Here is a 23,653-nt window from a genome sequence, read left to right as displayed (position 1 = left end):
GTTCAAGCAATTCTCCAGTCTCAGCCTCCCAAGTAGCTGGGATTACAGGCTCCCAATACCACGCTCGACTAATTTTTTGTATTTTTAGTAGAGACTCGGTTTCACCATGTTGGTCCAGCTGGTCTCGAATTCCTCACCTCGGAATTCACCCGCCTTGGCCTCCGAAAGTGCTGGAATTACAGGCGTGAGCCACCACACCCGGCTGATAAGAAATTTTATTTTATTTTATTTTATTTATTTATTTTAAGACAGAGCCTCACTCTGTCACCCAGGTTAGAGTGTAGTGGTGCGACCTCGGCTCACCAAAACCTTCGCCTACAGGGTTCAAGCGATTCTCCTGCCTCAGCCTCCAGAGTAGCTGGGATTACAGGCGCCTACCACCACGCCCAACTAATTTTTGTATTTTGAGTAGAAATGGGGTTTCACCATGTTGGTCAGGCTGGTCTCGAACTCCTGACCTCATGATCCGCCCGCCTCAGCCTCTCAAAGTGCTGGGATTACAGGCGTGAGCCACCACACCCAGCTGATAAGAAGTTTTAAAACAATCTAAGATACAAAAACATTAGAACAATGGCTGCCTCTGGATGTGGGAGATTTTTCTGGACAGACAGAAATGTTCTATATCAGGATGGAAGAAGGATCCATTTGTCCAAAATGTATAATGAAGATTTGTGCATTTACATGCCTGTAATCCCAGCACTTTGGGAGGCCAAGGCAGGTGGATCACTTGAGGTCAGGAGTTCAAGACCAGTCTGGCCAATATGGTGAAACCCCGTCTCTAGTAAAAATACAAAAATTAGCTGGGCGTGGTGGTGGGCGCCTGTAATCCCAGCTACTCTGGAGACTGAGGCAGGAGAATCACTTGAACCCGGGAGGCAGAGGTTGCAGTCAGCTGAGATCATGCAACTGCACTCCAGCGTGAGCAACAGAGTGAGACTCCGTCTCAAAACAAAAAACAACAACAAAAAAAGACTGAGGCACTGCTGGGTGCCTCTGGGCTAGAACTTATGTAGTCAGTGCCATACATGTGCAGGGATGAGGGTACTAGGCACAGTGTGCAGGCCGGGACCAGATGAGGCGGGGACACTGATTCTTTCATTCAACCTCCTGGGGACCACCCCGTGGACTGCAGAAACTGGCAGGGGTTGGTTGCCAGCTCACACGCCTGACTAACTAGAAAACTTATAGGTTGGGGACCCTTTTACCCGACTCCTAATAAATTCTAATTTATTTCCCTGTTGTCTGAATTCATCTCTTTCTCCTCTATCAGTCCCTGAAGAGAACTCTGGGTTGGGTCCAGGGGAAAATGCCCCTCTTTGTGGGTGTAATCAAAGACTTTCCGGCTTGGCTTAGCCAACGACAGTTTCCTTCGTGACAGAAGGAAGGACAACAGTTTCCTTCTGGACTCTGAGTCACTGATGTGTTAATGATCCTTCCCACCCCGACATTAAGTCCTTTTAGCCTAAAAGGTAAACACAAAGCTCATCTTCCCTAGGTGTTGACACAGACTCCCAGAGCTTCACCCAGCCGGGAGCTGAGCTCCAAACCTCCTGCTGAGCAACTGCAGGTCTGCAATGTGCAAGCTTTCCACCAGGCCTGCTTTCTGGGGCTTTTCCACCCCCTTTCCATAAGGAAAATCCTTCCAGCTGTCTAGCCTCCATCACTCCTGTTGTAATCAAAGCTCTTTCGTGTAAGCAACTCCCTCTCTACTCTTAGGGGAAAAAAATTCAGTTCCCACTCTCTGAACCCTCCAAGTCCCAAAGCAGCTTCAGAAACCGCGCTGGCCGGCCGGGCGCAGTGGCTCATGCCTGTAATCCCAGCACTTTGGGAGGCCGAGGCGGGCAGATCACGAGGTCAGGGGATCAAGACCATCCTGGTTAAAATGGCGAAACACCATCTCTACTAAAAATACAAAATATTAGCCAGGCATGGTGGCGGGCGCCTGTAGTCCCAGCTACTCCGGAGGCTGAGGCAGGAGAATGGCGTGAACCCAGGAGGCAGAGCTTGCAGTGAGCCGAGATCGAGCCACTGCACTCCAGCCTGGGCGACACAGCAAGACTCCGTCTCAAAAAATAAATAAATAAAAATAAAAATAAAAAAAAGCGCGCCGGCCATCTTCCTTTTACCCAACGCTCCAAACTCTTTGCTTCTGTCCATTTCCTCCACCCCCGCCCCCAACCCCTCGCTCACTGTACCCACAAGGCAGAATCAGGGGCTCTGTGGGTCACAAATGATGGATCACAGCTGATAACTAAAGGACTTAAGTGTGCCAATCACGTCCTCCCAATCACAGGGGGAAAGATGTTGCCCAGGCAAGGCCAGTAGTGACCTTCACGTGGCCCCATGTCAGCAATAAGAAGTACACTCAGCATGACTCTGGGAAGGCGAAGCTCTTGTCTTTCTTGGAGAACCTGGACGGAAACCATCTCAGCCCCACCCCGCCCCACCCTGCAAGGTAGTGGGAGGCAGGAGACTTTATTAATGATGCAATGTAACTGAACCACCAAATGGGGAAATTGGGCCGGGCACGGTGGCTCACACCTGTAATCCCAGCACTTTGGGAGGCTGAGGTGGGTGGATCACTTGAGGTCAGGAGTTCGAGACCAGCCTGGCTAACATGGTGAAACCCCGTCTCTACTAAAAATACAAAAAAGTAGTCAGTCATGGTGGCATGCACCTGTAATCCCAGCTACTCAAGAGGCTGAGGCAGGAAAATAGCTTGAACCCAGGAGGTGGAGGTTGCCGTGAGCCGAGATCGCGCCACTGCACTCCAGCCTGGGCGACAGAGCGAGACACCATTAAAAAAAAAAAAAAAGGGAAATTAACTGAGTTGTTTCTCCACCATAGACCTATCCCAAAAGCATGTTGCCTCCCAGAGAGGGCTTCCTTGACCACTCACCTGCAGGACACACCCTTAGTGATTCTGCACCTAGCCGCTGGCTTGTTTTCTTCATGTATTATTCCAGGTTGAGGTTTTGGGTTTTTTGTTGTTGCTGATTTGTCTGTGTGCTTGTTTTCTTGTCTATTTGCCCCACACCAGCCCCCGGTGGAATGTATACTCCACGGAGGCAGACACCGTGTACACCTTAGTCATCGCCCTACCCCACACTCAGGATGGCGTCTGCTCTACGCTAGCCCTCAATAAATACCATGGAAAGAAAAGAAGGGGAAAGACGGAAGGGAGGAAGAGAGAGAAAAGAAGGAGGATTCCATGTTCTGGAGCCTCAGCTTCCTCTGCCCCAGAAAAACTTTCCCAGGCTTTTGACTTGACAGAATTGGATTGGCTGGAGGGGAGGAGAGGGTGGGACAGCGAGGTCTCAGGATGGAGACCCACCTTCGGCCCTGACACTGGAGGCATAAACTCAGATGGGCGTCTAAAGGATGCTCACACCCAGAGCCTCACACCACCAGCCTGCCAAGGAAAGGTGTCAAAGCAGTGGCTCGACTCAAAGGTCTCTCTTAGGGCACCCACGGCTTTTAGGCAACTCTAGGGAGGGGAGGGCTCCAAAACTACTGTATTTCATGCCATTCCTAGAGGGTAGTAAAAGTGGTATTTTTTTTTTTTTTTTTTTTTTTGAGACGGAATCTCGCTCTGTCACCCAGGCTGGAGTGCAGTAGCGCGATCTCGGCTCACTGCAACCTCTGCCTCCCGGATTCAAGCAATTCTCCTGCCTCAGCCTCCCAAGTAGCTGGGATTACAGGCATGTGCCACCACGCCTGGCTAATTTTTGTATTTTTGTTAGAGACAGGGTTTCACCATGTTGGCCAGGCTGGTCTCGAACTCCTGACCTCAGGTGACCTGCCTGCCTCGCCCTCCCAAAGTGCATGAGCCACCACACACCTGGCTAGCCCATATTTTTAAAAGACTTTTTAGAAAAATAAAGGAGTGTAACTTGTTTCACATCCAAAGGTGTGAGGTCAAATATTCACCTATTACCCAAGCGTGGGCCCTGACCAGCTGGTGACCTGGACAGGTCTCTTCCCCTGAGTGATGAGAATGACAAGGACCCCAATACTCCCCCAGGTTGTGGAGGAAACTAGATAACATGGGCGGAAGGACCCAGTACCTGGCACCGCCTTTCAGACCCTGAGCTGTAGAGAGGGTTGAGGCTTGCACGCCACAGGGCCAGTTGCACAGGCAGCTGCCACAGCCTGCCTGACCCAGGTCTCCTCACCTGCCTGCCAGAAACTGCTGGGAATGCTGTGGGGTCAGGAGGAGCCCGAGAGAAGGGAGGGAGGAAAAGCCGTGACCCCAGGGAGTCATCACACCCGTCCCTGGGGTAGCCATGGCCCCTCTGCGCTGTGTCTGAGACTTCTCAGAGGCTACATCAGTCACTTCCTGTTCCTTGTCTTAAGGGGATTTGGGAAACAGGCCAGGAGATGACACTGAGCCCCAGCCATTTTCCCAGACCATACTCTCAACATCTTCCTGCCTTCAGCATTTCTCTGACATCTACCATTCCAGGGTGGCTTTCCTGCTTTTTAAAATGTCCCCAAATCGGCCGGGCACGGTGGCTCACGCCTGTAATCCCAGCACTTTCCGAGGCCGAGGCAGGCAGATCACAAGGTCAGGAGATTGAGACCATCCTGGCTAACAAGGTGAAACCCCATCTCTACTAAAAATACAAAAAAAAATTAGCCGCGTGTGGTGGCGGGCGCCTGTAGTCCCAGCTACTCAGGAGGCTGAGGCAGGAGAATGGCGTGAACCTGGGAGGTGGAGGTTGCAGTGAGCCGAGTTCGTGCCACTGCACTCCAGCCTGGGCGACAGAGCAAGACTCCGTCTCAAAAAAAAAAAAAAAAAATTCCCCATATCTCTTGTAACTTTTCTCTCTACTTAATATTTTTCTTTAAATGGACTTAATTTTTAAATTAAATACTGAAAAGACTTCATGTTTTATAAATTAATATTATAAAGACTTCATGTTTTTTATTGTTTGTTTGTTTGTTTTTGAGACAGACTTTAGCTCTTCTTGCCCAGGCTGGAGTGCAGTGGCGCAATCTCGGCTCACTGCAACCTCTGCCTCCCAGGTTCGAGCGATTCTCCTGCCTCAGCTTCCCAAGCAGCTGGAATTACAGGCGTGAGCCACCACACCGGTCTTTTTATTTTTTAAACAGGGTCTCACCCTGTCACCCAGGCTGGAGTGCAGTGGCGCAATCTCGGCTCACTGCAGCCTCCACCTCCCGGGCTCAAGCAATCCTCCTACCTCAGCCTCCTGAGTAACTGGGACTACAGGCCCAGGCCACCACACCCAGCTAATTTTTGTATTTTTTGTAGAGACAGGGTGTCACCATATTGGCCAGGCTGGTCTCGAACTCCTGGCCTCAAGCAATCCACTCACTTCAGCCTCCCAAAGTGCTGGGATTACAGGCGTGAGCCACGGTGCCCAGCCAAGACTTTATGTTCACATCATAAATGGATATAATCATTTCTCATAAATAGAAGGTAAAGTAAATATAAGCCAGGCATGATGGCTCATGCCTGTAGTCCCAGCTACTCAGGAGGCTAAGGCAGGAGATCAAGTTGAGCCCAGGAGTTTGAGCCCAGCCTGGGAAACATAGCGAAAAAAGAAAAGAAAGAAAATATAATGCCCTGCTCCTTAGATGTGAACAGTATACTACGGATGGAAGAAAATAAAGAATAACAGCCGGGCACTGTGGCTCACGCCTGTAATCCCAACACTTTGGGAGGCCAAGGTGGGCGGATCACCTGAGGTCAGGAGTTTGAGACCAGCCTGGCCAATGTGGTGAAACCCACCTCTACTAAAAATACAAAAATTAGCTGGGTGTTGTGGTGGGCGCCTGTAATCCCAGCTACTCGGGAGGCTGAGGCAGGAGAATCGCTTGAATCCAGGAGGTGGGGGTCGCAGTGAACCGAGATCGCGCCACCGCACTCCAGTGACACTGGAGTGAGATGGAGTGAGACTCCATCTCAATCAATCAATAAAAATTTAAAAATAAAGAATAACTTTACAATGGAGACATCTGACAAAACACTATCTCAGCCAGGTGACCAAGGCCAACATCAACAGTGGTTATCAGGATGTGACGAAAATGGTTCTGCCGGGTGCGAACCTGAGGTTGGGAGTTTGAGACCAGCCTGACCAACATGGTGAAACCCCGTTTCTACTAAAAATACAAAAATAGCTGGGCGTGGTGGCGCATGCCTGTAATCCCAGCTACTCCGGAGGCTGAGGCAGGAGAATCACTTGAACCCAGGAGGCGGAGGTTGCAGTGAGCCGAGATCACGCATTGCACTCCAGCCTGGGCAACAAGAGCAAAACTCCGTCTCAAAAAAAATTAAAAAAAGAAAAATGGTTCTATACCTGGTCTATACCTGGGTAGTCATCCTCTCAAAAACCAATACCCAGTCTAATCATGAGAAAAATATGAGACAAATCTAAATTGAGTGACAAGCACGCCTCAAAGCTGTCAGGGCTGCCAAAAACAAGCAAAGTCTGAGAAACAGTCACAGCCAAGAGGAGTCTAAGGAGCTGTGAAAACTAAATGTAATGTGGTTCCTGGAACAGAAAAGGACATTAGGGAAAAACTCTAAAATCTGAATAAACCATGCATTTCAGTTATTAATGATCATACATCAGTCTAGGTTCATTAATTATAGCAAATGGACCATATTAATGTTAATTATAGCAAATGGACCACACTAATGTTAATTATAGCAAATGGATCGTACTAATGTAAGTTGTAGGGAACTGGATTATAGAGCCTATGGGGACTCTCTGTACTCTTAATTTTTCTGTAATTTTATTTATTTTTTATTCTTTTTTTTTTTATTATTAAGACAGAGTCTCACTGTGTTGCCCAGGCTGGAGTGCAGTGGCGTGACCTCGGCTCACTGGTTCACTCAACCTCTGCCTCCTGGGTTCAAGTGATTCTCCTGCCTCAGCCTCCCGAGCAGCTGGGATTACAGGCGTCCGCCACCATGTCCTGCTAATTTTTGTATTTTTAGTAGAGACAGGGTTTCACCATGTTGGCCAGGCTGGTCTCAAACTTCTGACCTTAAGTGATCCACCTGCCTTGGCCTCCAAAAGTGCTGGGATTACAGGCCTGAGCCACCACACTTGGCCTTTTCTATAATTTTTAAACCTTAAAAAAAAATGTCTACCAGAAAAAAGGTAAATATAATGAAAATTGAATAATGTTATTACAGTCTGCTAAACACTGTCGCCTGCCCAAGGCCTGAGGCTTGAGACCCACTCTCTCTGTTAATAAGGAAGGTTAGCAAATGTTAGAAAGGTGTTAAAGACATATATTAGCCCCTAACTGAGACATTCTCCTTGAAGTGATGAGCTGCACAGAAAGAGAACTGCAAAGGGAATAAACAGCTTTCTCTCCGGGGATCAGTTTCGGGGAATGCTGTGTCCCGTCCTCTTACCACCAAATGTCATCTCCCCCGGTTACAATTTCGGAATCACTGCGCCAATTCATCCAATTCCACCCGCCTCCCTTCCTCATCTGGAGCTCGGAGAATGAGCAAAGGGTTCCCGCAGTGGGACAGTGTTCTGCCCCATGCTATGTTCATCTGTGGAAGAATCACCCCACACATCCCGAGGGGTCAACAACCCAGTACAGGTCACCATCCCAGTACAGGTCACCATCCCAACTCTCCAAAGAGCAAGTCCAAGGACAGGCCCTGCTCACCCTGGAGCAGAAGAATCACCTTGCAGGGCAGCACACACCACCCCCTGGGTTCAGCATGTCGCCAGCTGCCTGCACTTCCACACCTACCACTCCACTGGATCCTGTCAGCCCCATCAAGAAGGAACACAAGGCCGGGCGCCGTGGCTCACACCTGTAATCCCAGCACTTTGGGAGGCCGAGGCGGGCGGATCACAAGATCAGGAGTTCAAGACCAGCCTGACCAACATGGTGAAACCCCACCTCTACTAAAAATACAAAAAATTAGCTGGATGCAGTGGTGGGCGCCTGTAATCGCAGTTACTCAGGAGGCTGAGGCAGGAGAATTGCTTGAACCTGGGAGGCGGAGGTTGCAGTGAGCCGAGATCGCACCACCGCACTCCAGCCTGGGTGATAAGGCGAGACTCTGTCTCAAAAAAAAAAAAAAAAAAAAGGAAAAAAGAAAGAACATGAACATCATACTCCTTTCCAGATGAGTAAACCGAAACCTAGAAAGGCTAACTCTTCTGTCCAGGATCACACAGCCACTAAGAAGCAGGGCTGAGACCGGGTGCGGTGGCTCACCCCTGTAATCCCAGCACTTTGGGAGGCCAAGGCAGACAGATCACAAGGTCAGGGGATCGAGACCATCCTGGCTAACACGGCGAAACCCCGTCTCAGCTAAAAATACAAAAAAATAGCCGGACATGGTGGCAGGCACCTGTAGTCCCAGCTACTCAGGAGGCTGAGGCAGAAGAATGGCGTGAACCCGGGAGGCAGAGCTTGCAGTGAGCCAAGGTCACGCCACTGCACTCCAGCCTGGGCAACTGAGTGAGACTCCATCTCAAAAAAAAAAAAAAAAAGAAGCAGGGCTGACACCCTGACACAGATGGTCCTGTGGACACTGACTTCCGCCAAATCCAAAATGAAGAGGAATGGAGCCCCAGGAAACGAGGAGCTGACTCGGCCAGAGACTCCCGATGCCCATCACCAGACGAAGCGGAATATGCCTTTCTGCCTGCTCCGTGCCCAGGCCCCTTCCTCTAGCTGACAGTACCTTGATGCTCCCCTGGGGAGCACTCTGACACCACTGTTGGTTTTTGTGGTTTATACGGGGCTGCCCCTTTCTCAACCTACCCAGCCTGAGCTTTGGGGTAGGTACACGATGCAGGCTTGGCCAATTCAAATTCAAATTCATGCTTTTTTTTTTTTTTTTTCCAGAGACAGAGTCTTGCTCTGTCACCCAGGCTGGAGTGCAGTGGCGCAATCATAGCTTACTGCAGCCTCAACCTCCTGGGTGTAAGCAATCCTCCAGCCCCAGCCTCCTGGGTGTCTAGGACTACAGGTGTGCACCACCATGCTTAGTTAATTTTTTAATTTTTTGTAGTGACAGGGTCTCACCTTGTTGCCCACACTGGTCTTGAACTCCTGGCCTCAAGTGATCCTCCTGTCTTGGCATCCCAAAGTGCTGGGATGACAGGTGTGAGCCACCGTTACTGGCCTCAATTCATGTACTCTATTCACCAATCCACTACGATTGCTTCAGGAATGGGCACACACCTCGTCAGTCCAAACAGAGTGAACACCAAATTTTTACAGGTGCTATAGAAGGAAGCAGCTTAATCATACCTACTGAGATTTTCAAAGCTCACACTAGAGCTGCCAGTGGCTGCCTTATAACATGTGGGGAGAGGTGCCTGTGAATGAAATAAATGCAGGAATTAGAGCCAAGAGATAGGTACAAATAGATGGTCCGATGATGCTGTCTCACCCACCTGGATCTAGCTGGACCTGAAGCCAGTTTTTTGTTTGCTTGTTGTTTTGTTTTGTTTTGTTTTTGAGACTGAGTCTCGCTGTATCACCCAGGCTGGAGTGCAGTGACGTGATCTCAGCTCACTGCAACCTCCGCCTCCCAGGTCCAAGCGATTCTCGTACCTCAGCCTTTTGAGGAGCTGGGATTGCAGTTGCCCGCCACCATGCCCAGCTGATTTTTGTGTTTTTAAGAGAGATGGGGTCTCACCATGTTGGTCAGGATGATCTTGAACTCCTGACCTCAGGTGATCCGCCTGCCTTGGCCTCCCCAAGTCCTGAGATTACAGGTGTGAGCCACTGCACCCGGCCAAAGCCAGGTTCCTTAAACTTACCAATTACAAAAGTTTTCATGGACTTTGTTTTTCCTTTTGGTTTCTTTTTTTTTTTCTTAAGCCAGTTTGAGTAAGGTTTCTGTCACTAGTAACCTAGTTAGTGAACATAGTAGACCTCTACCCAACCGGCAAGGAAACACAGGAGGGAACAAAATAACAGCTTCAGGCAAGGGGGACGACCACACCACTCATTCTCCCACAGGGAGCACCCCCCGAAGGCGACATGGGGACAACTTCCCAGGAGAAGCCCCTGGACCTACCTCCTAACACCCAGATGCACCAACACACCCCGCCAGTGCCAGATGCACCAACACACCCCGCCAGTGGCTGGCTGGGGGCGGTCTGCGCACAGTCCTCTCAACCACACCCAAGGAAAAGGCAGGGCTGGCACAAATCTGGCCCCAGCAGATAAAACAGGAGTGTCTCCCTTCCTCTTCACTGTCAGCACACAAGCTACTCATTTCATCTTTCTTCCGTAAAATCAAGGACTATTCCAGGAAAATGTTGGGGAATAAAAAAAGGAAGCATTCAGATAAATCCAAAATGTGAGACGTTCTACTAAACAACTTTGCCAGGTCTGCTGTTCTATATTTATTTATAGACAGGGTCACACTCTGGAATGCACCCAGGCTGGAATGCAGTGGTGCGATCATAGCTCACTGCAGCCTCAAACTCCTGGGCTCCAATGATCCTCCCACCTCAGCCTCCTGAATAGCTGGAAGTACAGTTCACCACACCCAGCTCTGTTCTGTATTTAAAGAGACAAAAGAGATGTGACAACCACGGACAATGAGTGACCATTAACAACAAGTTTGTGGTGGCTCACGCCTGTAATTCCAGCACTGTGGGAGGCTGAGGCAGGCGGATCACCTGAGGTCAGGAGTTCGAGACCATCCTGGCCAACATGGTGAAACCCCATCTCTACTAAAAATACAAAAAATTAACAGGGTGTGGTGGCGCACACCTGTAATCCCAGCTACTCAGGAGGCTGAGGCAGGAGAATCGCTTGAACCCGTGAGGTGGAGTTTGCAGTGAGCCAAGATCGTGCCAATGCACTCCAGCCTGGGTGACAGAGCGAGACTCCATCTCAGAAAAATTAATTAATGGCAGAGTGCAGTGGCTCATGCCTGTAATTTCAGCACTTTGGGAGGCCAAGGCAGGTGGATCACAAGGTCAGGAGATCGAGACCATCCTGGCTAACACGGTGAATCCCTGTCTCTACTAAAAATACAAAAAAAAATTAGCCAGGTGTGGTGGCGGGCGCCTGTAGTCCCAGCTACTTGGGAGGCTGAGGCAGGAGAATGGCATGAACCTGGGAGGTGGAGTGTGCAGTGAGGAGAGATCACGCCACTGCACTCCAGCCTAGGCAACAGAGCGAGACTCCATCTCAAAAAATAATAATAATAATTAATTAATTTAATTTATTTTAATTTAAATAAAGGTCAGGTGGATGGTGAAGGATTCAGTGGTATAGTAAATGGGGTAGGAACTGAGGCAGAGGACCAGATGAGATGGTCCTTTCTTTTTTTTGAGACAGGGTCTCACTCTGTCACCCAGGCTGGAGTACAGTGATGAGATCACAGCTCCCTACAGCCTCAACCTCGTGGGCTCAAGCAGTCCTCCCACTTCAGCCTCCTGAGTAGCTGAGACTACAAGCACCTGCCACCATGCCCAGCTAATTTTTGTATTTTTTGTAGAGATGGGGTTTTGCCACGTTGCCCAAGCTGGTCTTAAACTCCTGGGCTCGAGCCATCTGCCCACCCCAGCTTCCCAAAGTGCTGGGATTACAGGTGTGAGATACCACCTCGACCAAGATGGTCCTTCCTCTCTTGAAGTTATTTCTCAGGAGGTGGGTGTAGGTGACAGAAACTGTCTCCAAGGTCAATCCTCTTCCCACCCAACTGCCAGACTCTAGGTCTCTCAAGGGACCCAGTTCTTAGAACTTGTTCCTGGGTTTGAGATTGGCAGACAAAACCCCTGAACTAGCACAAGGGGAATTGGCTGGCTCAGCTCCTTCAGCAAGGGAAATGCATTTGAGCTTTAAGCTGTGGCTTCCCCCAGGGGCCCTCAGGGCAGAACTTACATCTTAAGAACTGGGATAGGATGAAAATCTAAAGCCAGCCTCTTAAGATGGGTCTGGGGAAGTCAGTGTGGTCAATCCCACAGCCAACTCTCTAGCCACCTCTCTGGTCAGTAAAGCCCTCTGGAGGGCTTTTGAAAAGGAGAAGGTCGAGGTTATTCTCAGCAAAAGACCATGCTGCAAAGACACCAGGCGGGTGCAGGAACTTCAGAGGCCGAGAGTCCACCTGACTTACGGAGGACAGTGCTTCTCTGGGCGGAGGGTACAGCACGCAGGACACAGCCAGAGCTGCTCAGAGGGCTGGAAATCAGGGAATGCAACCACAGCAAGGAGACAGGATGCTTCACCCAACAGACAAGCAACATGTACACTCCTACTAGTGGCATAGAAATTGGCAGGCAATTTGCAGTATGATGAAATAGAAAGTCACCTACCCTATCACCCAGCAATCTCACATCTAGGATTCACTCAAGTCTAGAGAAACACTTTCATGTGTAGACAGTCAACTATGAGGATGTCCACTGTGGCACTTTTCTTTTTTTTTTTTTTTTTTTTTTGAGACGGAGTCTCGCTGTGTCTCCCAGGTTGGAGTGCAGTGGCGAGATCTCGGCTCACTGCAAGCTCCGCCTCCCAGGTTCATGCCATTCTCCTGCCTCAGCCTCCCAAGTAGCTGGGACTACAGGCGCCCGCCAACACACCCGGCTCATTTTTTGTATTTTTAGTAGAAACGGGGTTTCACCGTGTTAGCCAAGATGGTCTCGATCTCCTGACCTCGGCACTTTTCATAAGAGTAAAAACATACCAAGAACAGGCCAGGCGCGGTGGCTCACCCCTGTAATCCCAACACTTTGGGAGGCTGAGGCGGGTGGATCACCTGAGGTCAGGAGTTCAAGACCAGCCTGGCCAACATGGTGAAACCTCATCTCTACTAAATACAAAAATCAGGCATGGTGGTGTGTGCCTGTAATCCCAGCTACCCGGGAGGCTGAGGCAGGAGAATCGCTTGAACCCAGGAGGCAGAGGTTGCAGTGAACCGAGATTGCACCACTGCACTCCAGCCTGGGAGACAGAGCAAGACTCCATCTAAAAAAAAAAAAAAAATTATCAAGAACAACCATTTACAGGAGAAACAGATAAGCAGGGTGTGGTATATTTGTAAGCTGGACCCTAAACTGTGATTAGAAGGAATGAGCTAACTGTGTATGTATGGACATTGATGGTTACTTAAGGTACATGTAAAAATACTGGTTTGTTTTTGTTTTCGTTTTTTTGAGACAGTCTTGCTCTGTGACCCGGGCTGGAGTGCAGTGGTGCGATCTCGCTCATTGCAACCTCTGCCTCCCAAGTTCCAGCAAGTCTCCTGCCTCAGCCCCCCACCGAGTAGCTGGGACTACACGCAAGTGCCACCACGCCCAGCTACTTTTTGTATTTTTAGTAGAGATGGGGTTTCACCATGTTGGCCAGGCTGGACTCGAATTCCTGACCTCGAGCCATCGCCCGCCTCGGCCTCCCAAAGTGCTGGGATTACAGGAGTGAGTCAATGCACCTGGCCAGCCACTGCACCCAGCCCTGTTTAAATATCTAGAAAAGTATGTACCAAACTCTGAACAGTGGCTACTCTGGGGAGGAGAGAAAGGGAATGTCACTGCTGGCCATAGGAGACTTTATCTTTTTTTTTTTTTTTTTTTTGAGATGGAGTCTCGCTCTGTCGCCCAGGCTGGAGTGCAGTGGCGCGATCTCGGCTCACTGCAACCTCCACCTCCTGGGTTCACGCCATTCTCCTGCCTCAGCCTCCCGAGTAGCTGGGACTACAGGTGCCCGCCACAACACCTGGGTAATTTTTTGTATTTTTAGTAGAGATGGGGTTTCACCGTTTTAGCCAGGATGATCTCGATCTCCTGACCTCGTGATCCACCCACCTTGGCCTCCCAAAGTGCTGGGATTACAGGCATGAGCCACCGCGCCCGGCCGAGACTTTATCTTTAATGTTCTGATTGTTTTAAGGAAAATGATTTGGGTTTTTTTGTTTTCTTTTTTTTTTTGGAGACAGAGTCTCACTCTGTCACCCAGACTGGAATGCAATGGCGTGATCTCAGCTCATTGCAAACTCCACCTCCCAGGTTCAAGTGATTCTCCTGCCTCAGCCTCCCGAGTAGCTGGGATTACAGGCACCCACCACCAAGCCCATCTAATTTTTGTATTTTTAGTAGAGACAGGGTTTCGCCATATTGGGCAGGCTGGTCTCGAACTCCTAACCTCGTGATCCGCCCGCCTCAGCCTCCCAAAGTGCTGGGATTAAAAGCGTGAGCCACCACGCCCAGCCTGTTTTTTGTGTTGTTGTTGTTGTTTTTTGAGACAGGGTCTCACTCTGTCACCCAGCCTGGATTGCAATGGCATGATCACAGCTCATGGCAGCCTCAAACTCCTGGGCTCAAGGGATCCTCCAACCTCAGCCTCCCCAGTACCTGGGATTACAGGTGTGCACCACCACATCTAATTTTTTTTATTTTTAGTAGAGATGAGGTTTTGTCATGCTGCCCCCCCACCAGGCTGGTCTCAAACTCCTGGGCTCAAGCAATCCACACACGTTGGCCTCCTACGGTCCTGGGATTACAGGCATGAGCCACCATGCACAGCCAAAAATGTATTCTTATATTACTTACGTTATACAAAATTAAATTTCTGAAAGGAATCATCAGTCTCTAAAATTAAATCCACACCGTTAAATACTACACAGTTATTTTTAAAAGGAATGGGGCAGAGGCAGCAGCAGCTCTCAGTGGTCAGACAGGAATTCTCCAGAGAAAAAGGCAAGATGTAAAACAGTGTTTTGTAGGATATTACCTTTTATTTAAGAAAAAGAAATAGGAGGCTGGGCATGGTGGCTCACACCTGTAATCCCAGCATTTTGGGAGGCTGGAGCAGGCAGATCACCTGAGGTCAGGAGTTCAAGACCAGCCTGGCCAATGTAGTGAAATCCCATCTCTACTAAAAATACAAAAAGTAGCTGGGCGTGGTGGCAGGTGCCTGTAGTCCCAACTACTCGGGAGGCTAAGGCAGGAGAATCCTTGAACCCGGGAGGCAGAGGTTGCAGTGAGCCGAGATCACACCACTGCACTCCAGCCTGGCAACAGAGCAAGACTCCATCTCAAAAAAAGAAAGAAAGAAAAAGAAAGAGGGAAGGGGAGAGGAAGGAAGGGCAGGGGAGGGAGGGGAAGGAAAGGGAGGGGAGAGGAGGGGAGGGGAGGGAAGTGGAGGGAAGGGTAGGGGAAGGGAGGGAAGGGGAGGGGAGGGGAAGGGAGGGAAGGGGAGTGGAGGTAAGAAAAGGATATGCTCATCTTACATGTGAATAAAGAAGCACTGGAAAGAACCTCAAAGTGAATTTTAGAATGTAGGGACAGGGCGGATTGGAGTACAAGCAAATCTTTCTACCACATATATTTTTATATCATTTTGGTTTTAGAACCAACCATGTAAATACATTTACTGTTCAAAATCTTTTTTTTAGTTTTTGTTTTGTTTTGTTTTGTTTTGAGACAGAGTCTCATTCTGTCGCCCAGGCTGGAGTGCAGTGGTGTGATCTCGGCTCACTGCAACTTCCGCCTCCCAGGTTCAAGCGATTCTCCTGCCTCAGCTTCCTGAGTAGCTGGGACTACAGGCGCCCGCCACCACGCCCAGCTAATTTTTGTATTTTTAGTAGAGACGGGGTTTCACCATGTTAGCCAGGATGGTCTCGATCTCTTGACATCGTGATCTGCCCGCCTCGGCCTCCCAAAGTGCTGGGATTACAGGCGTGAGCCACCACACCCGGCCATCTTTTTTAATTTTTTGAGACGGAGTTTTCCTCTGTCGCCCAGACTGGAGTGCAATGGCACGATCTCCTCGGCTCACTGCAACCTCCGCCTCATGGGTTCAAGCTATTCTCCTCCCTCAGCCTCCCGAGTAGCTCGAATTACAGGCATGCACCACCACACCCAGCTAATTTTTTTGTGTTTTTAGTACAGACAGGGTTTCACCATGTTGGCCAGGCTGGTCTTGAACTCCTGACCTCAAGTGATCCGCCCACCTCGGCCTCCCAAAGTGCTGGGATTACAGGGTCCTGTTGTAAGGTGCTAGACTTCCCACCCAGTGGGAGGCTTTAAGAGAGTAAACTCTTACTTACATTCAACAATAATGTATTGTACACTTAAAAGTCTGTTAAGAGGGTAGAGTTCATGTTATGTGTTCTCACCACAACAAAATAAAATACTGTAAACTTTAACTTTAGAGGAAAAAGTAAAGTAAAATAAAGAGACTGCCAGGTACGGTGGCTCACAACTGTAATCCCAGCCTCTCGAGAGACTGAGGCAGAAGGATCTCTTGAAGCCAGGAATTCAAGACTAGCCTGGGCAACATAGCAAAATCTCATCTCAAAAAAAAAAAAAAAAAATTTAAGAGAGAGAGACCAGGCTCTTAACCACCATGGTACTCACAGACCAAAGCCAAGGACCCCTCAACCTGCAGCCCTAACTCTGACATCCGACAGCCAGGAGGCCACCACCAGGCTCTGGCCAGCTTAGTCTCCCCTGAGAAATAATTCACAGAGCACGGAGTATAGGGCAGAAGCGTACTTCTGTTGACAAAAATGACTCTTTCATAACAAGCCCTTCGGTGAGCTCTTGTGCAGCTGTTCTGTGCCATCTGCTTTGCCATCCAGTTCTCCCTTCTCACATGAAGACAGGGCTGCCTGCTAGAGGGGCTGGAGGTGAGCAGGGCATGGCACTGGGAGGTGGGTCCATGGGCTCCAGGAGAGAAGGGTCGCTGGGACCATTTTCTACCGACGGGGTCACGACCCCAGCCCCAGCCCTTTATGGAGATCTGAAGCCACGGGAAGGAAGGGTAGGCAATGGGATGAGAAACAGCACCTTCCTGATCCTAAGTCACCACCCGCTCCATCTGAGCTACATCAGGAAAGCAAGTAATTGGCCGGGCATGGTAGCTCAGGCCTGTAATCCCAGTACTTTTTAAGGCTGAGGCGGGTGGATCACCTGAGGTCAGGAGTTTGAGACTAGCCTGGCCAACATGGCGAAACCCCGTCTCTACTAAAAATACAAAAAATTAGCCGGGCGTGGTGGCGGGTGCCTGTAATCCCAGCTACTCAGAAGGCTGAGGCAGGAGAATCGCTTGAACCTGGGAGGCAGAGGTTGCAGTGAGCCCAGATCGTGCCACTGCACTCCAGCCTGGGCGACAGAGCGAGGTTTCCCAAAAAAAAAAAAAAAAAAAGCAAGTAATTAATCTTTGAGACAGGAACCTGCCCCCCCAGGGAGCAATGAGAGAGGGAGGAGAAGAGACCAAGGGAGCAAAAAGAAAAGCAAAAGGAGAGAGCAAAGACACAGATACCCAGAAACCGGGAGGGAAGTCACCTCTGGAGAGGGAGCAAGCAAAGAAACACTGAAAGCAAGACCCGTTGGGGAAGGAGAACAGCCAGGAAACCATTACAACTGCTCTTCTGCCCCCGGCCAGGGCTTATCTCCCCAGAGGGTGGAGGTAGAGCCTGTGATGAGCCCACAGCCAGAATCACAAACCTGAGGTCAAAGAACCCGCGGCCCCACCTGCTCTCCCAGCCATGCCCGGGCAGTCCTGGGCCAACAGTGCCACCTGCTGGCGGACGGGGAAACTGTGTTCCCATCCACCCGCTCTTCCCGCCGGCTCTTCAGGGGCCTCCTTCCTCATCTTCACACCTGCCAAGCCTGTTCCCACCACCTGGAATGCTCTTCCCCAGACAGCTTCACACTGGCTCCTTTTCTTCCTTCGGGTCTCCTTCAAATGCCACTTCTTTTTTTTTTTCAACTTTCACTGAATTTAGGGTAAGTCACTGGGCATTGCTAGGAAATCGCAGTATTATTTTTGTTTGTTTGTTGTTGTTTTTGAGATGGAGTCTCACTGTCGCCCAGGTTGGAGTGCAATGGCGCGATCTCGGCTCACTGCAACCTCCGCCTCCCAGGTTCAAGCGATTCTCCTGACTCAGCCTCCCGAGTAGCTGGGATTACAGGCGTGCACCACCACACCCTGCTAATTTTTGTATTTTTAGTAGAGATAGGGTTTCCCCATGTTAGCCAGGCTGGTCTCGAACTCCTGACCTCAAGTGATCCGCCAGCCTTGGCCTCCCAAAGTGTTGGGATGACAGGCGTGAGCCACCGCACCCGGCCCAGGATAAGTTAAATTCTAAGACCCAAACTAGTTTTGGTCAAGTGCTCGGCTCATCTCATGCTTGCAGGCCCAGGGACGGCCTCTTGTGGCTCCCCCACAGGGAAGGGCTGGCCGGAGCAGTAGCTGGCCTCCAGCCTGAGAGCCTCTGCCACGCTCCCCCTGGGCCCCCACCGTCACTGGCGTGCCTGCTGCAACCGATCGTGTATGAACCCTCCCCCTTGTTTTTCAAGGGGATTTTTTTTTTTTCTAATAGGAAGCTGATAAAAAGCAACCAAAGAGATGCTGACCAGATGGGATGAATGAGATCCCAGTTCCCAGTCAGAGCTCAAACTGGCTGGTGCCGGGTGGGCTGGGAGAAGAGCTTGGGGATTACAGGCAGGTACCACCACGCCCGGCTAATTTTTGTATTTTTAGTAGAGAGGGGGTTTCACCATGTTATCCAGGCTGGTCTTGAACCCCTGACCTCAGGTGATCCACCCGCCTTGGCCTCCCAAAGTGCTGGGATTACAGGCATGAGCCACCGCGCCAGGCCTCAAATGTCCCTTCTATGGAGAGGCTCTTCCTGACCACCCACCCAGGGTAGCCCCTTCCCCCAGCCCCGAGCCCCACCCTCATCGCCTCACTGTTCTATTTCCTTCGCAGGACTGGGCACTGTCTGAAACCATCTGCGTTCTTCATTCTGTTCTCATCTGCCTCCCTGACTAGAAAGTGCCACAAAACCCAACAGGGTCTGAATTGTCCACTTTTGTAGGACTCACACTCAGAACACGCTTTGGGAATGAGAGCTGTTGGATGTGCGAGTGGGTATCCACTCAGCTGAGCTCTCCTGAGCTAAAGAGCCCAACCACACACACCCCTGGGACGATCCACAAGCTCCTCAAACGCACCACACTCAAGGCCGAAGGCATCATCTTCTCTGCTACTAGGCTTCCCTCCTGCCTCACCCACGTGACTACTTTGCAAATCCCCCAAATGTGAAACCCCCATTTCCATGGGACTTTCTCTTTCTTTCTTTCTCTCTCTCTTTCTTTCTTTCTCTCCTCTCTCTCTCTCGAAACGGAGTCTCGCTGTGACACCAGGCTGAAGTGCAGTGGTGTCATCTCGGCTCACTGCAACCTCCCATTCCCAGGTTCAAGCGATTCTCTTGTCTCAGCCTCCCAAGTAGCTGGGACTACAGGCGTACGCCACCACGCCCAGCTAATTTTTATATTTTTAGTAGAGACGGGGTTTCGCCATGTTGGCCAGGATGGTCTCGATCTCTTGACCTCGTGATCCGCCCGCCTCAGCCTCCCAAAGTGTTGGGATTACAGGCGTGAGCCACCGCGCCCGGCCGGAAATCCTCCTTTCATGCTGCACGTGGGCTAGATGCCTGGGCTCAGGATTCACCTTCTTAGGACCCTAGCCTGGCCCTCCCCTCCAACCCCAGCCAAGAGGACATTCAGGCCCCACCCCTCCTCAGGAGCACAGCAAGCATCTCCTCCCTTCCGCAATCCATCCCCAAAGCTCCCAAGGCCGCCTTCCCAAGTCACCAAGGAGACAGGCGGTTCCCCCATCCCGCTCTTCCAGGGCACCCGTCATCTCGCCGGCAACACACTCAGAGCCTCCCCGAGCGGATCCCCACCCTCGCCTCTGGCTGTTTCCTGCCATGTCCCTCCATCCATTTCGAGAGCCTGGCTCACCGCTTCTCAAACAGCTCTACACACTTCCCCACCCACCCGCAGCCTTTGCCCTTACTGTTTCCTCAGTGTGAAATGCCCCCTGCAGGCCAGGCATGGTGGCTCACGCCTGTAATCCCAGCACTTGGGGAGGCCGAGGCGGGGAGATCACGAGGTTAGGAGATTGAGACCATCCTGGCTAACACGGTGAAACCCTGTGTCTACTAAAAATACAAAAAAAAAAAAAAAAAAAAATTTGCTGGGCGTGGTGGTGGGTGCCTGTAATCCCAGCTACTCGGGAAGCTGAGGCAGCAGAATCGCTTGAACCTGGGAGGAGGAAGTTGCAGTGAGCCGAGATGGCACCACTGCACTCCAGCCGGGGCGACAGAGCAAGACTCCGTCTCAAAAAAAAAAAAAAACAGAAAGAAAGAAAGAAAAAAGAAAAAAAATGCCCCCTGCAACCTTCTCTTCCTAGGGATTCCTTTTCAACCTTCCAGCGCCGCCTCCTTCAAGAAGCCTTCCCTCATTCCACCAGGAAGAATATCTCTATTGGCACTGCCTCATGCTTTGCAGATGACTGTTAAATGTCTGTTTCCTCCAGAGACTGTGAGTTCCTTGGATGCGGGCACCAGACCCTCTTCACACCTAAACGCTCTGTCTTCAGTAACAGCTGCAGTCACGAGCACTAACTCTGCGCCAAGCACCATGCTAAGTGCTTTTCCTATGTTAGCTCATTTCATCCTCAAACATCCCTGTGAGACAGGGACGCTCCTTATCTTCACTTTCCGGATGGGAAAACAAGCTCAGAGAGGTTCAGACGGTTGCCCAAGGTAACCCCAGCAGTGAGTGGCAGAGCCAGGATTCAACAAAGGGATCCCCGGCTCCTAAAACAGAGGCGGCTGGCTACAAATAGGAGCTCGATGAATATTCATCAGATAAACAAACAGCTTCATTTCTCCTGCCTCTGGCCTCGGTGCTGTCAACAGCTCAGTCAAAGCGTGAACACTCATGTTCTTGCTTCCTGTATTCCAATTCTGACCCAGTTCCAACAGCAAAGTTTCTTCTCTTCCCTTCTCCCTCCTCTTGCCCAAATCATGAGCCAAAAACAACCCTGCGGAGACAGGCTGGAGAGATGCTGCTGCTAGGCCTGTGTTTGAAAGGGAAGATGGGACTAGGTGTGGTGGCTCACACCCATAATACCAGCAATTTAGGAGGCCAAGGTGGGAGGATCACTTGAGGCCAGGAGTTCAAGACCAGCCTGGACAGCATAGCAAGACCCCATCTCTATAAGAAACATTTTAAAAATTAGCCAGGTGTGGTGGCACATGCCTGTCATCCCAGCTACGCAGGAAGATTGCTTGTGCCATGAGTTCAAGGCTGCAGTGAGCCACAATTATGCCACTGCACTCCAGCCTGGGGGACAGAGCAACACCTTGTCTCCTAAAAGAGGAAGTGGTGCAGGGAGGCAGCATGATACGTTTTGGGGTAAAATTGGACATTGTACAGAGGCTTCCCTCAAACAGTCCAGGTGCTTCCTTTCGAACCACCACAGGCATCTCCAGCCGCCGCCTCCTCCTCCTCTCTGGCCAAGCCTCTGCTTCTACTTAGTCAACAGAATTTGTGACCCATATGCTATTTCTTTTTTTTTTTTTTTTTTTTTTTGAGACAGAGTTTCGCTTTTGTCACCCAGGCTGGAGTGCAATGGCGCAATCTCGGCTCACTGCAACCTCCGCCTCCCAGGTTCAAGCAATTCTCCTGCCTCAGCCTCCCGAGTAGCTAGGATTACAGGCATGCACCACCATGCCCGGCTAATTTTTGTATTTTTAGTAGAGACAGGGTTTCTCCACGTTGAGGCTGGTCTCGAACTCCTGACCTCAGGTGATCTGCCCGCCTCGGCCTCCCAAAATGCTGGGATTACAGGCGTGAGCCACCATGCCCGGACTTTTTTTTTTTTTTGAGATGGAGTCTAGCTCTGTCACCCAGGCTGGAGTACAGTGGCACAATCTCGGTTCACTGAAACCTCCGCCTCCCGGGTTCAAGTGATTCTCCTGCCTCAACCTCCCAAGTAGCTGAGATTACAGGCGTGTGCCACCATGCCCAGCTAATTTTTGTACTTTAGTAGAGACAGGGTTTCACCATGTTGGCCAGGCTGGTCTCGAACTCCTAATCTCAAGTGATCCATCTGCCTCGGCCTCCCAAACTGCTGGGATGACAGGTGTGAGCCACCACACCTGGCCCATGTGCTGTTTCTTTTTTTCTTTCTTTCTTTTTTTTTTTTTTTTGAGACAGTCTTGCTCTGTCACCCAGGCTGGAGTGCAGTGGCACAATCTCAGCTCACTGCAAGCTCTGCCTCCCGGGTTCACGCCATTCTCCTGCCTCAGCCTCCCGAGTAGCTGGGACTACAGGCGCCCGCCACCACGCCCAGCTAATTTTTTATATTTTTAGTAGAGATGGGGTTTCACCATGTTGGCCAGGATGGTCTCGATCTCCTGACCTCGTGATCCGCCCGCCTCGGCCTCCCAAAGTGCTGGGATGACAGGTGTGAGCCGCCGTGCCCGGCCCCATGTGCTGTTTCTTGTTCAGTCGTGTTGCTTCCCATTCTGCTTGCTTAGTAATTGCTCCACAATTGCTCTGCACCCTTTCCCGCTGCCTTATTGCTTACTGGCCCCTCAGGGCCACTCACTGATTATGTAGTTGCCTCTTTTGACCTTGAGTCAGGAATGCAGCCACCTCTTCTGACCTTGACTGGATGTGTGTGTGAGCTGTGGGTTCTGACGGCCCAGCCGGAGAGGAGCGAGTGGCACACTTTTCTGGAGGGCCCAGAGAGCCCACGTTACGCCATGCGTCCAGGACCACCTCCACTGCAGAGACGATAGTGTATGCTCAATACTCAGGTGGGCTAAGAATGGATGGTCAGGTGCCCAGAGGAAGACAAAGGCAAAATGGCTTTTCAACGAAACTAGAATCCTAACAGTTTTTCTTTCTCAAACACTTACAAATTCCTGAACCCACGCTGTTTGGGGGCGTATGTCGTGCAGACATTGCTGGGGCTCCCCTGACAAAGGTTGGGTTCCAGTTCATTCTGAGGCCCTTAGGCCCCGGGGTGGGAGACCAAAACCCCACAGGACACCAGGACACAGCCCTCCCAGGCAAAGTGGGGGCCCATTGACTCCCTGGCCGATAGGGCTTCAAAAACAGCATCTGGACATCCTGGGTTCCAATGTCAACAGAGAAAATGTCAGGGATGAGGTATCCGGAAGCCAGCCCCATGCCACCCGCCATCCCCATGACACCCCAATCCTCTGCACCCATCTCAGCCACCCATTTACAGCATTTTTCACTTTACCAAGAGACTCGCCACAGGGCTGTGCCTCACCCCAAGGAAGCAGCACTCCCTGAGTAACTGAAATTACAGATGCGCACCACCACACCCGGCTACTTTTTGTATTTTTAGTAGAGACAGGGTTTCACCATGTTGGTCAGGCTGGTCTAGAACTCCTGACCTCACAGCTGCCTCAGCCGCTCAAAGTGCTGGGACTGGGGGGAGTGGGGAGGGATAGCATTAGGAGATATACCTAATGTTAAATGAAGAGTTAATGGGTGCAGCACACCAACATGGCACATGTATACATATGTAACAAACCTGCACGTTGTGCACATGTACGCTAAAACTTAAAGTATAATTAAAAAAAAAATTTCCCCAAAGGAAAAAAAAAAAGTGCTGGGATTATAGGCGTGAGCCACCTTTTCTTAAAAAAAAAAAAAAAAAAAAAAACAAAAAAAAACAGGGTTTTATTGTCCTCCAGGCGGAGTACGGTGGTGTGATCATAGCTCACTGCAGCTTCCCACTCCTGGGCTCAAGCAATCCTCCCACCTGACTCCCAAGTAGCTGAGACTACAGGCACATACCACACAACACCTGGCTAATTGTTTTTTAATTTTCTTTGGCA

General features: G+C 50.5%; 1 protein-coding gene across 10 annotated transcripts in view, besides 3 other annotated features; it reads right to left on the bottom strand.

Moving 5' to 3' along the window:
• Positions 1 to 23,653, bottom strand: part of RAP1GAP2 (RAP1 GTPase activating protein 2) — a 282,097-nt gene that overhangs the window by 191,636 nt on the left and 66,808 nt on the right. The gene's annotated exons all lie outside the window — the stretch shown is intronic.
• Positions 3,844 to 4,343: an enhancer, noted in NCBI's record as "H3K4me1 hESC enhancer chr17:2745057-2745556 (GRCh37/hg19 assembly coordinates)". NCBI's record gives its function as "activates a minimal SCP1, AML or CMV promoter by ChIP-STARR-seq in naive H9 embryonic stem cells {active_cell/tissue: H9 hESC(naive)}" and the evidence as "EXISTENCE:reporter gene assay evidence [ECO:0000049][PMID:30033119]".
• Positions 12,989 to 13,489: an enhancer, noted in NCBI's record as "H3K4me1 hESC enhancer chr17:2735911-2736411 (GRCh37/hg19 assembly coordinates)". NCBI's record gives its function as "activates a minimal SCP1, AML or CMV promoter by ChIP-STARR-seq in primed H9 embryonic stem cells {active_cell/tissue: H9 hESC(primed)}" and the evidence as "EXISTENCE:reporter gene assay evidence [ECO:0000049][PMID:30033119]".
• Positions 21,022 to 21,101: an enhancer, noted in NCBI's record as "active region_11500". NCBI's record gives its function as "activates an Ori minimal core promoter by ATAC-STARR-seq in GM12878 lymphoblastoid cells {active_cell/tissue: GM12878}" and the evidence as "EXISTENCE:reporter gene assay evidence [ECO:0000049][PMID:35858748]".

Source organism: Homo sapiens, chromosome 17, assembly GCF_000001405.40.
Source record: "Homo sapiens chromosome 17, GRCh38.p14 Primary Assembly".
Lineage (NCBI taxonomy): Eukaryota > Metazoa > Chordata > Mammalia > Primates > Hominidae > Homo > Homo sapiens.
The sequence above is the reverse complement of the archived record's forward strand: the minus strand, read 5'-3'. Positions and strand labels throughout refer to the sequence as shown.